The sequence below is a fragment of the Homo sapiens genome, chromosome 15 (genome assembly GCF_000001405.40).
Source record: "Homo sapiens chromosome 15, GRCh38.p14 Primary Assembly".
Lineage (NCBI taxonomy): Eukaryota > Metazoa > Chordata > Mammalia > Primates > Hominidae > Homo > Homo sapiens.
This window is the reverse complement of record NC_000015.10, coordinates 40,042,397-40,054,746: the sequence shown is the minus strand read 5'-3', so window position 1 is coordinate 40,054,746 and position 12,350 is coordinate 40,042,397. Positions and strand designations below refer to the sequence as shown.

Here is a 12,350-nt window from a genome sequence, read left to right as displayed (position 1 = left end):
TGCTCAGCAGGGGTGTGGGGTGGGAAGCTGGCCGTGGAAGAGTCACAGGGCTCGTGATCCAGGGATCCCAGAGACAAACACCTGCCTGAGAGGCCCTGAAGCCCACAGAGAGAGGCCAAGATACTCTCACTGACTCTGGGTGGCTTCAGAGGCCACTGAGAAACCCTGGGCACCGTGTCCCACTTCATGTCTAGTTGCCACTCTCTGGAGCAATTTCCTCCAAGTCATGGGACCTGCCCAGGGGAGGCAGAAGGGAGCTTCATTCTTGGGCTGTGCAACTCACCCCACCTGGGGTCTGCCCACTGAGGACCCTCAGAGTGATGCCAAGAGGAGCACCGGGCCGGCCTCAGTGGGGGCTGAGCAGGCGGTTCCTTCCCCCTCAGCCTGGGCCTCTGCGTGGTAACCGTGAGTGTGAGTGAGTAAACCCCAGCTCACCAAGGCTGGGACGCTGCTCTGGGGTTGTTAAAGGGGCTGGAAGCCATTCAAGGGGAAAGTTTCACAGTTTCCCAGAATGGCTCCTTTCTGCCATGCTGTCCCCAGAGGCTAGTGGGATGTTCATGCTGCCCATGTGCCTGCCTGTCACAGGTCCAGGTTGGTCTGATCTCTCATCTTGCCAGTTACCTGCGTCTTGGTGGAGCACCCACCGAGAACAGTGTCCTGGCAAGAGGCCCAGGGGGACCCAGCCCCTGCGGGAAGAGGCCAGCCTTGCCTTTGTGTGAGTCCTGCTTCACCCCCAACTTTCTTCTCACTCTTCCCATTCTTCTACGAGAATAAGTAACTCATTCCCTTACACTTGATTTTCCCTAAATGTGAGAAAGGTGACGCCGTCTAGGAGAAAAGTGACTGAGTTCACTCCGCACACATGGGCACCCACTGCTTGTCAGGCTTGGAAGGTAGACACACATTCTTTCCCTGGAGGAGCTCACAGGCTGGCAGGGCAGACATTCACACTCTATTCAGAGGCAGGGCTCTGCAAGGGAAGGTAGCAAGTTGGTTAGGGGCAGAGGAGGGGCCGATGATGACAGAATGTCTGCAGAGCTCACAAATGTTCTATGAAGCACACAGTGCCGGCTGTTTGGAACGAAGCAGAAAGGGGTAAGGCAAAGTGCTCAGGATCAAACTGGGGAGATAGGAATGAGTCACAGTAAGTTGTCTTGACGTCCCCGCGGGGCAGTAGGGGACGGTTTCAAAGGGCTTTCAGAATTCAGGGCAGGGTCTTTTCCCACTTGGGTAATCAGGGAAGCCTTCTAGAAGGAGGTGGTATTTGAACTGTGGGGAATGTCAGGAGGCTGCACGAGGGAACCTGGACCTGAGTTGTGGGGACGTTGGTGCCAAAGCAGAAACTGAAGGCTGCCTCCTCCTGGACGAACTACCCAGGGGAAAATTAAACTTACTGGAAGAGTGAAAGATTCCCCCAAGACACTCAAGTGAGGGAGTGGTGTCTACTGCTTCTCCTCTGCCTGCACTTCCTTAGGAGGGCAGGGCTGATTTCTCCTCCCCGTACCCATCAACTTCTGACCTTATACATCTGCCCCACCCTGCCTTTCCATCCTCAGCTCCCACTTCCTTTCCCTAGGAACTGCCCATTACAATCTCTGCTATGACTTTTTAAAAAGCCCATTCGGTCTTTGTCCCCCTTTCCTGGCTCAGAGCTTTAAAAACCTTTGGGATCTCCTGAGTGACAGGAACGCCTTTTGTCATTTGTAATGAGCATTTCCATCATACCTCAGGTTATGATAAGAAGGCAACTCAAGGTGGGCCCTTAATTTTAAGGGAGAGACTGGCCATGCCAGAAAGACCAAGCATGTGATCAGAGTGTGGAAATTTCATCCCTACTCCCATCCCTACTGCACCGCCAACCTCTGGGGCGAGAGGGAAGGACTAGAGATTGAGTTCGTCATGTGGTTAATGATTTCATCAATGGTGCCTGTGGAGTAAAGCCCCATATAAAACTCGACACTGAAACTGCGAGGAGCTTCCTGGTTGGTGAACACACCAATGTGCTGGGAGAGGGACATACCACATTCCACAAGGAGAGGGCATGGAAGCTCTGCACACACACCGCCCCCACCCAACACCTTGCCCTACATAGCTCTTCCCTTTGGCTGTTCTGAGTCTATATGATAATAAAACTAATTGTAGGTATAGCATGCTCAGTGAGTTCTGTGAGCCATTCTAGCCAACTACTGAACCCTAAGTTTGGGTGGTGAGAACTCAAATGTGTAGTCAAGTCAGACAGAAGTGCCAGTAGCCTGTGGACCCTGCGTGCGCCTGAGTTCTGAAGTAAGGGTAGTCTTGGGGACTTTGACATTTAACTTGTGGAGTCTGACACTGTAAAAAAACCAAACTCGGTTTTTCCTACTATGCTCTCTCAACACGTTCCTGACACCACATGGGGGGGCAGGGGTCTCTCCCCGCCACCAAGCAAGCTATCATTTCCGCAGCAGACACTAGTGGGGCATCCTCCAGTTCAACTCTGACTCTACCTGCCGACAGTGTCAGATCACACAGGTTGAGAACTCAGTCCCCTCTCCTCACTTCTGATGCCAAGTGCAAGCCCTGGGTTGTTTCGCCGCTGCTCTGTCTGACCAGCTAATTGGGGTTCACTAAAGCAGCTCACAGAACTCAGGGACAACTTACTTACATGTGTTAGCTTATTATAAGGATAGTCCACAAGATATACATGAAAAGATGCATAGGGTGAGCTATGGAGGAGGGGTGGAGCTTCTTTAACCTCCATGGGTGCTCCACCCTCCAGGAATCCCCACGTGTTCAGCTATCAAGAAATCCTCTGAACCCTGCCCTTTTGGGTTTTTATGGACGCTTCATTACATAAGCCTGATTGACTAAACCATTGGCCACTGGTGATCAACTTAAACTTCAGCCCCTTTTCCCTCCCTGGAGGTTGAAGGGTGGGGCTGAAAGTCCCAATCCTCTAACCCTGTCTTGATCTTTCTGGCGGCCAGCTCCCATCTTGAAGCTACCTAGGTGCTTAGCGTGCAAAAAGACACTTAAAACTTAGGAGATTCCAAGGATTTTAGGAGTTGTATGTCAGGAATGAAGACCTAATTAATACCTGTTTCACAATATCACAGGCACTAACTGCAGGTAGTCAGTGTCAGAATTGACACTGAATCCAATTGCAGGATGCCCCGTTGGTGTCAGAGAATAGTTGTCAGAACATACAAAGAGGACTCTTCCCTAAGATTCACATCACACTCCTTCTCCTGCCTGAAATGGCACTCTGCTCCCCGCAGTAACTAGTCCACTAGTCTGTTTTTCTAAATTCTTTCTTCCCTTCAAAGTCCACCTCCTTCACAGCTTGGTACTAGTGATGCTGTCCTGTAGCCCTTTCTTGCATGTATAACTCCGCACCTCCCACTAGGTAGCATCTGCTTTTGAAGAGAGAGACCTGGGGAAGGCTTGCCCTGGACAAAGGAGTTGCCCGCTAAATGCTCATCGGTGGATAGAAGGGGAAGGCTGCATTGAAGTGAGGAAGGCTGCTGGCCTGGCGAGCATTCCTCAAGAAGAAGCCTCGGCTTCAGGCCTCTCCCCCTCCCTCCTTCCTCTGTTGGCTGTGAGAAGCAGTGTCTTGGGATGGGCCGGGTTTCGGGGCGCTGGATCTGCAGTTCCAGCATCATTGCCCTGACAGTAAATACAAAATTTTGGCATCTTCTCTGCTGCGATTGCCAGGGCTCACCCAGGCCAACACCCGCCCCCTCCCCACACACCACACTCCACACACACACCACACACCCCCACACTCCACACACACATCCCCACCCTCCCCACACACCACACACTCCCCACTCCAGACACACACACCACACCCCCCATACCACACACGCACCATCACCCCACACCCCCTACACACATCCACACACACTACCTCCTTACACACACACACCCACACCGCACCACACACCCCCACACACCACACCCCCCACACACCACATACACCACTGCCCATGCATACCACACCCCCTCACACGCGCACACACACCATGCACACACAAACCCCCCCCACACTACACACTCCTCACACACACACAACCCCCCACACATGCCACATGACACCTCCCCACACACCACACACAACCACACAGACGCACACACCACACCCCACACCACACACACCACCGCCCCCGCACACCACAATCCCCCACACACCACACACTCCTCACACACACCACACCCCCCACACACACCACTCCCCCACACACCACACACCCTCACAACTTCCTCACACTCCCCCTACACACACACACACACACACACACACACACACACACACACAAGGGCTAGACCATGCCTAGCCTATGTCTGCCTCATTTTGGGCCGCAGTTGAAAACCACTAAACATGGCCATAGTCTGGCCTTGTTACTCCTCTCTCCCTTGCTGTTTGGCAAAGGGCCAGTAGAGAACAGTGTGTTCCCCCTTGCACACTTTCTCACCCACCTTCCACCTCACACACTCCACCTTTCCCTGAAGCTGCCTCCAAAAGCCTAGGTTTATGTCTCCTTCAACAGCTCTGACAGAGTCTGGTTGACCCAAGCCATGTGGGTAATTGGTGGGGGCAGACAGCCATGCTACCCATCCCCTCAACACCCTGGAAGATGAGCAGGCAGCAGACAGGTGGGGGCTACACTGGGCTCCTCCTCCCAGGCAGGCCCATGTGAGAGGTTTCACAAAGTGACCTAGAGGCACTTAGGAAGCCCAGGGCCTTCTTCCACATCACTGCCCACGGGGAACTGCTCTGAGTTGCTAGGCCTAGATCTGGCTTCAGAAAAAGCATGGCTCCTGCGTGATCTTTGGGCCTCCACCTTCACTCCTTCTTCCAGCCCCCACCTCCTCTGAAGGCCTCTCTCAGCATATGCTGGGTCTTAGAAGGAGAGAATATTAGCCATTTATACCCTCAGGGAAATTTAAATGGCCATGTTAAGTTTTAGCTGTAACTGGAATGAAAGGCCTGGTCCCCAGTTACAGGAATTGTAAGGAGCAGCTTCAGTGGAAAAGAGGGTTGGGAGGATGGGATGTGTCTTTCCTGGTATTACTGTGACCCACTCCCCATGTTCTGCTTGTCAAGCAATCTGGAAGAATTCTTGCTCTTCCCCACCAAGTGTTGGGCAATCTTCTAGAATACTACCTCTTAAGATATTCTGAGTCCAAATCTCCCAAGATTTTCTCCCAAATCTCTTTATGGTGAGGATCTGGGGAAAACAAAATCCCATCCTATTTCAAGTTCTGAATAGAATACAATTCCATTTTATCTTGCCCTCAATTGGATTCTCATCCTAATTTCTTTCCCAGCTATACTAGCCCCCAAACAGTCATTACAGCAATCCCAAAGTTACCTGACAGCATTGGAGTCTCACATTTAAAACTGGAAGGGACTTTACAGCTCAATCCCAACTCCCCAAGTTACAGAGGAAGAAACTCAAGTCCGGCAAAAAGTGACTTGTCCAAGGTCCCACGCCAATGAGTGGCAGAATTCAGATTAGAACTCAGCACTTCGGCTGCCACTCCAGTGCTGTTTCTGTAAGGCCACAACCACTTCACATCCCCACTCAATTTAGAGTTTGAGGCCTGGAGTTTAGGTACTATTTTTGGAGACATTGTTGGAAGTTCCAGGATGAGGTATTTATGAAGATTCAGTTCTCATTTCCCTCTCCAAAGCTCTTGGCTGGGTAACATGGCTCATGTCTGTAATCTCAGCACTTTGGGAGGCTGAGACAGGAGGGTCACTTGAGACCAGGAGTTTGAGACCAGCCTGGGCAACATGGTGAGACCCCAGTCTCTATAAAATAATAATAATAATAATAATAATATAAAGCTCTTGTTTTGTGTTATATTGCCCTAGTCAACTGCAACCTGGTCTGGGGTAGGAGGAGGCAGGGGGCCAGGGGGTGAGGAGGGCTGCTGAGCTGTGTGATGTCTCTGCTGGGCTCCCAGCCTGGCTGATGGGGGTTTATCCACCCCGACCTGGGAGCAGGTGTGGGCCCTCTGTCCCCAGAACTTCTTGAAGAACAGTTTGTTCTGCAGGGTGCAGCCAGGGTAGGGGGAGAGTTGCAGATACCAGTACAGCCCTGGAGCCCGTTGCAGCTGCTTCCTGTTGTCAGAGGGCTCCTCCACCAAGGGGCTGAGTTCCTTGACACCTCCACGCCCCTGCCTAGTTCTCCGTGTGGTATCCTGCCTCAGTAGGCCAGCAACTTCCCACGGATACCAAGGAAGGCTGTGTTCAAGTAGCAAGAGCTCAGAGTGAGGAAGTGCCCTGTGGCCAGGCACATTTCCAGCCTCGTGGCTGACCACCCCTGGTGCAAACAGGGTCCTGTCCTCACGTATGCAGGTTGATTTCTGCCTTGTCTTCCTTTCCCTGTCTGAAAGATCTTTCCCATCCTGTCTGCAGAGTCAAGTTCTCCCCATCATTCTCGGTTCCATCTCTTCCCCGAAGCTTTGTCTGCAGTGACTCCCTCCCCACCCCCGCTTCACTGGCCATACTGGACTGTCCAGCATGAGAGTGTGGGCCCTCATTTCACACTGCCTTGTCTTGTGGTTTGACATTTCACCTAGGTTTGTTTTGTCTCCTCTTCAAGACTTGAAGACAGGATGATTTGGGTCCTTAACCACTGCCTCCTACTTCAAACGAGATCCCTTACAGAGCTGAGCTCAGAGCCGACCCTGTGTGTAAGGGCATAATAAATCCTGGCTGAATGTCCCGTCTCAGTGTCTCTGTCTTGGTTCCTGCCTGAATTTCAGTCAGCTGAGCCACAGTTCACCCCAGACCCTGTAGCATCTTGGGAGGAGACATTTGGGCTCCTCTGCCTGGTAGTCACGTTGCCTCACTGCAGGAAGTGACCCAGGCCTTGCCGTCTCCCAGCTTGTGGGCCTTCTTGCCTCCAGGTTCCCCTCTGACTAATCATGAGAGTGCTATGGGGCTGACTGGAAGCGACCACTCCTGTCCCAGAAGGGACTTCCCCAGCCTGAATGCTTGCAGGTGGACGGCAAGGGAAGGGGGATAGTGCTGGTAATATGCAAGGTGGTGCCCTCGTCCAGTTCCAGGGACACAGCTCATAGAACACTCCCAAAAGGGGCTGTTCAGCCTGTCTCCATTCTTGCAGCTCTCTTCACCCCAAGCCTCAGGCCGGGCCTGGCTCGTTGTCCCTGGGGGGTCTGAAAGGGGCTGGAGTGGGGGTGGAGTGAGCAGCAACCCGGGACTCTCAGCTCAGCGCTTTTCCCCCCATTGTGAAATGGCCTTGGATAAGGGCCAAGCAGGAAGCTGCCTCCTATAGCTCCGTGGCCTGGCGCCTGGGGTGTGAGGACGGCCCCAGGCCCTTCCCTTCCCAAGGGAGGGCTGAAGCTGACACACGGAGTCCACCTGCATGGAGACACTGAGCTGCCCTTGGCTAAGTCATGAGGGGCCTATGCCCTCCCTCCTGCTCTCTGTGCCAGCTAGTTTGTGGCAGGCAGAGGGGTGTGTGGAAAGTGCATGGGCCTGGGGCTCAGGGCTCGGGGCTTCCAGTCTCACCTTTGGCATTACCAAGCTTTGTGATCTTGGTCAAGTCATTTTCCCTCTTTGGACCTCACTCAGTTTCTATTCACTTGTGAATAACTAGCAGGTAAAGGGTTGGACTAAAAAGGTCTTGGAGGCCTCTTCCAGCTCAATATTGTGACTCACTGAAGTCAATGATTCATTGATGTTATTACTGGGACTTGGCTCTGATCAGATGGGAGTTTCTTCATTGTGTCTGTCTAGGATTCCCTGTGTAAATCTGCATCTGTGGGTCTGTCACAGAGGTGGAGTGGGCTTCCCCGAACAATCAAGGATGAATGATGACACAGAGGCCAAGAGATGAACAGCATCTGTCGCTTTGGGGAGTCGAGACACCTGTTGGGTAATTTGTGCAGAACTCTGGCTATATAATTTCCTGTCCTTGACTTTCAGACAGGAAACTTTAAATTGGGGACCCCTAATCATCCTGAATAAGGGAGCCCCTCCCCCACCCACTAAACCCATGAAAGTGTGGGGAGGAGGAGGGCAGGAATAGGTGCTCATGCCCCAGACTTCCAGCCTGGCTGGGAATAACTACGCTTGCAATAACTATGCTTGCCTTTCCTGGCCTCAGTTTCCCCTCTTACAATATGGGGTATGCTGGCCCCCTTCTTGAGGTTCAGCAAGGAAGGAAATCCTAGATGAGAAGGGGAGAACCTCTTAAAGTTCACACACATTTCTTGAGTGCCACCACCTGATTCTGTACAAGGATGGCCTTCCAGGCATGTGGGGCCAGGGGCTGCCCATGGAGTGTAGCCTAGAGGGTACTGGCAATTCCTTTGTATCTCCCCAAAGCCCCTATACCAGAAATCCCACCATTAGAGTCTGTTCTTTGTTTAACATCACCTAAGTTTCCTCCACAAATGGAGGGCGTGTGACATACTAACCATTTGTCCTGAACATGTTCGTGTGATTTAGCTACCAGATGGGTTGCCTCCACACAGCTAGCTGAGCTTAGTGAGAGACTGGGATTTTGATGGGGAGGGAGGGAGGGGTGTTTTGCACGACCGAATATTTCTACTCAGGGTACTGCTTGAGAAGGAGAGGAAAAGAACAATGAAACCTAGCTTTTCTGCCATGCTTTCTCACGTATAAGCTTTTATATTCACATTGTCACACTGAACTCACCACAGCAGTGTGAGGAAGATCTTCCCATTTTACAGCTGAGGAAATGGAGGCTCATAGAGATTAAGATGACTTTCCTTCAGAGATACAGCCAAGAAATGCCAAGTTGGACCTGGAATCCAAAGACAGGATTAAGGAGACAGGATTCTGCATGGGAGTGGGAGGGGGACAGGGGCTTGGGATAGGAACCCACACCCAGAGGGAGGGAAAGATGAGGAGTGGAGAGAGAGTCCCAGTTTGTTCCACTCTGCCTAGAGCTGGTCTCTTTTCTGCCTTCCCTCCCTTCTTGTCACCTCTTTGGACAGCTGAAAGACAGCTGAAAGCTCAGCACTCCTGAGCTGCCCGCAGGCTACACTCATTTGCAAGTGCTTCTTCGCACAGAGGTGGCAGGCTCCTCAGCTAGAACAACGCTCACCTCACAGGACTATTGGGGGCTCAAAAGTGGATACATGTAAGCACCTAGAAATGAACCTGGCACTTAGTAACTTCTCAATAAATATAAGCAAGCTATTATCTGAGAAAAAAATAGTCTCTTCTCTAGTGGAGAAGTCAGTCAGCTTCTTGCACCTAGAACAGTGCCAAACACTGCTTGTTTAGCCTTGTTCAGTGAATGGATGAATGATAATCTTTCTGTAACACGGAAAGTTCTAGCCTCCACAGAAGTAATTTTGAAAAATAATGACCACGATCTTGGATATTCTTAGGGTTGATCTAAGGTAAACGACAGGGCAAGATCTGGGAGTGGCTGAGGCGGTCGCCCATGGCTGCGCTCGTCTGGTGAGGCCAGGGCGTCCCCTACTGGCCCAAGACGAGTCACAGGCAGGTCGAGGCCACTCCTCATCTCTGCGATGGCGCGTGGAGGGAGGGCGTGGTGGCGTTGCTGCGAGCGAGGGGAAGGCCAGTGTTAATCACTGACACTTGTGGGCTCCGGAAACTTCCCTAGGGCCCCCAGAAGGGGCTGGGGGGAGAAAAGCAGCAGTTCTAAGAATTTTGGAAGTAGAAGTGACATTAGCAATCTAGCCTAAGTCCTGAACATAACAGTGAAAATACTTTAAAAAATACATCAACTGGGTGTTTACTATGAGCCCTTTACGTGGATTATGTCCTTGAAAGCCGACAACAACCCTCTGAGGCAGGTTCCCTGTGGAGGATAGGGCGCAAGCAAGTACCTCGTGCAGGGCCTCACAGCAAGTTGGGGAGCAGGGTGAGCCTGGGGTCTCTGACTCACAGTCCAGGGCACCTGTGCTGTCTCTCTAGGACACTGGGGCTTGGGATTTAAATCCAGGACTTCATCCTGGGGTGGGGATGGAGAGAGTTCCTGGAGCCCTGAGTTGGCTGAGCAGATACAATGAACACTTGTTGACCAACTGACTGCAGAAAAGAATAAAGGAATTGGGAACTGCCAGTGTTGGAGTGGATTCAGTCCAGGGAGTGTGTTGACGTGTGGCTTCAGGGTGTTTACTCTCTCCGGGCACCCAGGCTTCTAGGACACACTCTCATCTCCCTCCGGCCACTCCTCTGGCCTTCTCTAGGATGGCTCCACCAGAGCTAACCACCTCCCGCTGACGTGGGAGGTCTCCCAGCCTTAGGTTCTAAAATTTGTCATCCCAAAGCCAGACCTGCCCAGTGCCATTCCTCGATGTGTTTAGATGATACCCTCCTTCCTTCATCCAGAACTGACCCTTAAATCAGCACACTGGAGCTACGGTGAGGCAGCTCAGAGCCCAAGGTATAGTTCCCCTCAGACTGAAACTGAAAAGTTAAACTAGCCCAGAGGCCAGTCCTCCGTAAGGTGCACAGTGTCTTGTTGCAATCTGCTCCTGTAGAATGAATCCACCTTGACGAGGAGGACGTAGAACAGCCCACTCCCAACTAAGGGACTGCAGTGTAATAATGCATCCCTTAGCTCATTTACTCCTCCCCTTGACATGAGGTAGGCACTTTTATGACTTCCCCATTTTACAGATGAGGACACTGAGGCACAGAGAGACTTAAGCAATTTTGGAATATGCAAAAAAGATTAGTGGAAACAAATACATTAAAGAAAAAGATAAACTCAAAAACAACAATAACAAAAAACAAAACAAAATAAAAAATAGTGGATGTTTCCAATGAAAAATTATACATTGATTAGAACACAGCCTTCTGGATTAGCTGATTTCTAGCCTTTTATTTCCTTTGCGCTATTTTACAACTCTGTAGGTTGTAGAGACTCAATGGCAATGCAGAGGATTCTTGTCTATGGATGTACAAATGCTTCTGTTCAGTGAAGGGACAACCCTGGGTCCCTCCTGTGCAAAATCCAATTTTACTTCCATTTACAAATTCATTCCAGAATTCCTGATGTTTACTGGATTCCCCTTTGAATGGATTGTAACATACATCTGGTTTCCTTATTAATAATAGGTTAAACATAATACAAAATTTTTTTGAGACAGCATCTCACTGTTTCCCTGACTGGAGTGCAGTGGCACAATCATGGCTTATTGCAGCCTTGACTACCCCAGCTAGGAACCCCATCCAGGAACTAGCGACTGTGTTTTTAAGCATTATACTTTCCAGGCACTGCAAAGTGTAATTGCATTAGAGTAACTGCAGCTGCAAATTAATCAACCCTAACCTGAACAAGATCCTTGACCCTAATTCAAACCCTAACCAAATTCCTGACCCTAATTCAAAACCAACTCTAATTAAACACCTAATAAATTAAAGTGTGCTCTGTCTGAGGAAAAAACACATTACCCCTGCATTTTGGGAGAGACAATCTCAGGTTGTACAAACAAGCATACTTATTCAGGTCCCTTAGGTCGGCTAGGCCCTGAGGAGCAGGGGTACTTTTCTCTGCCCGTCTTCCCATGGGGAAGTGGCCAAAGCTGGTACGGTGTTTTGTGCCCAGGGCCTTCGTTTTGCTCTTGGTGCTGCCTAGGCCTTTGATGAAGCCCCCATGATGTGGGAAAGGATTTGGGAACCATTTTCATGTCATGGTTCTCCTAGAACTGTGAAAGGGAGAGGAAAAACTGAGAGGGAGCAGGAAGGTGTGTGGCCTGCATGACTTAGAGACAGTGACCCAGCGCCATGCCTCACATACATACTGCTCTGCTCCAAGGCCAAAAGCCATTAATCTCTATTATGCATTTAAATTACAATTTGATGAATGATATGTTACCCTAATCACACATAATTGCAAGTTAGGATTTGGGGTGCTGGAAAACATCAAAATTTAACCATGTTATATTGACATAAACTCTCAATTTCATTGTACCCCTGAGCTACCTTTATTCCTGATTGATCACATACAATACCATTTTTCTCACTGATGAATTTATTTTCAGATATAGTCTTATAAATCAATGAACTTTATCATTGCTTTTACTGTTTTAATTTTTTTAATCTCAAAAATTTAAATTTAGCAACATTATTTTACTTCATAGTACTTCCTTTTATGATCCCTTTTATTTATGGCAAATGATACTGGTTTTCCACTTATGATCATGATATTAAATACACAAGTAGAAAGTGAGTCAATTTAAAGAAAAATATTAACTAACAGTACAGGTGGTATTAAGATAATGGCAGAAATCAGGATGGTGATGTTGAAATGATGGAAGGTGTGTGGTCTATAAGTAATAACACTATTTGATACTATACTGTTTATTGGGCATTTACTATGTGCTAG

The 12,350-nt window shown here is 49.9% G+C and overlaps 1 long non-coding RNA gene across 4 annotated transcripts in view, besides 3 other annotated features; it reads right to left on the bottom strand.

Moving 5' to 3' along the window:
* SRP14-DT (SRP14 divergent transcript) overlaps positions 1-12,350 on the bottom strand; it is a 28,199-nt gene that overhangs the window by 12,763 nt on the left and 3,086 nt on the right. For all 4 annotated transcript variants that reach the window (NR_040059.1, NR_040060.1, NR_040061.1 and 1 more), the window contains exon 2: positions 8,678-8,786. This is a non-coding gene — a long non-coding RNA (SRP14 divergent transcript). The remainder of the gene's footprint in view (positions 1-8,677; positions 8,787-12,350) is intronic.
* Positions 36-245: an enhancer, noted in NCBI's record as "active region_9224". NCBI's record gives its function as "activates an Ori minimal core promoter by ATAC-STARR-seq in GM12878 lymphoblastoid cells {active_cell/tissue: GM12878}" and the evidence as "EXISTENCE:reporter gene assay evidence [ECO:0000049][PMID:35858748]".
* Positions 6,774-6,903: an enhancer, noted in NCBI's record as "active region_9223". NCBI's record gives its function as "activates an Ori minimal core promoter by ATAC-STARR-seq in GM12878 lymphoblastoid cells {active_cell/tissue: GM12878}" and the evidence as "EXISTENCE:reporter gene assay evidence [ECO:0000049][PMID:35858748]".
* Positions 7,244-7,373: an enhancer, noted in NCBI's record as "active region_9222". NCBI's record gives its function as "activates an Ori minimal core promoter by ATAC-STARR-seq in GM12878 lymphoblastoid cells {active_cell/tissue: GM12878}" and the evidence as "EXISTENCE:reporter gene assay evidence [ECO:0000049][PMID:35858748]".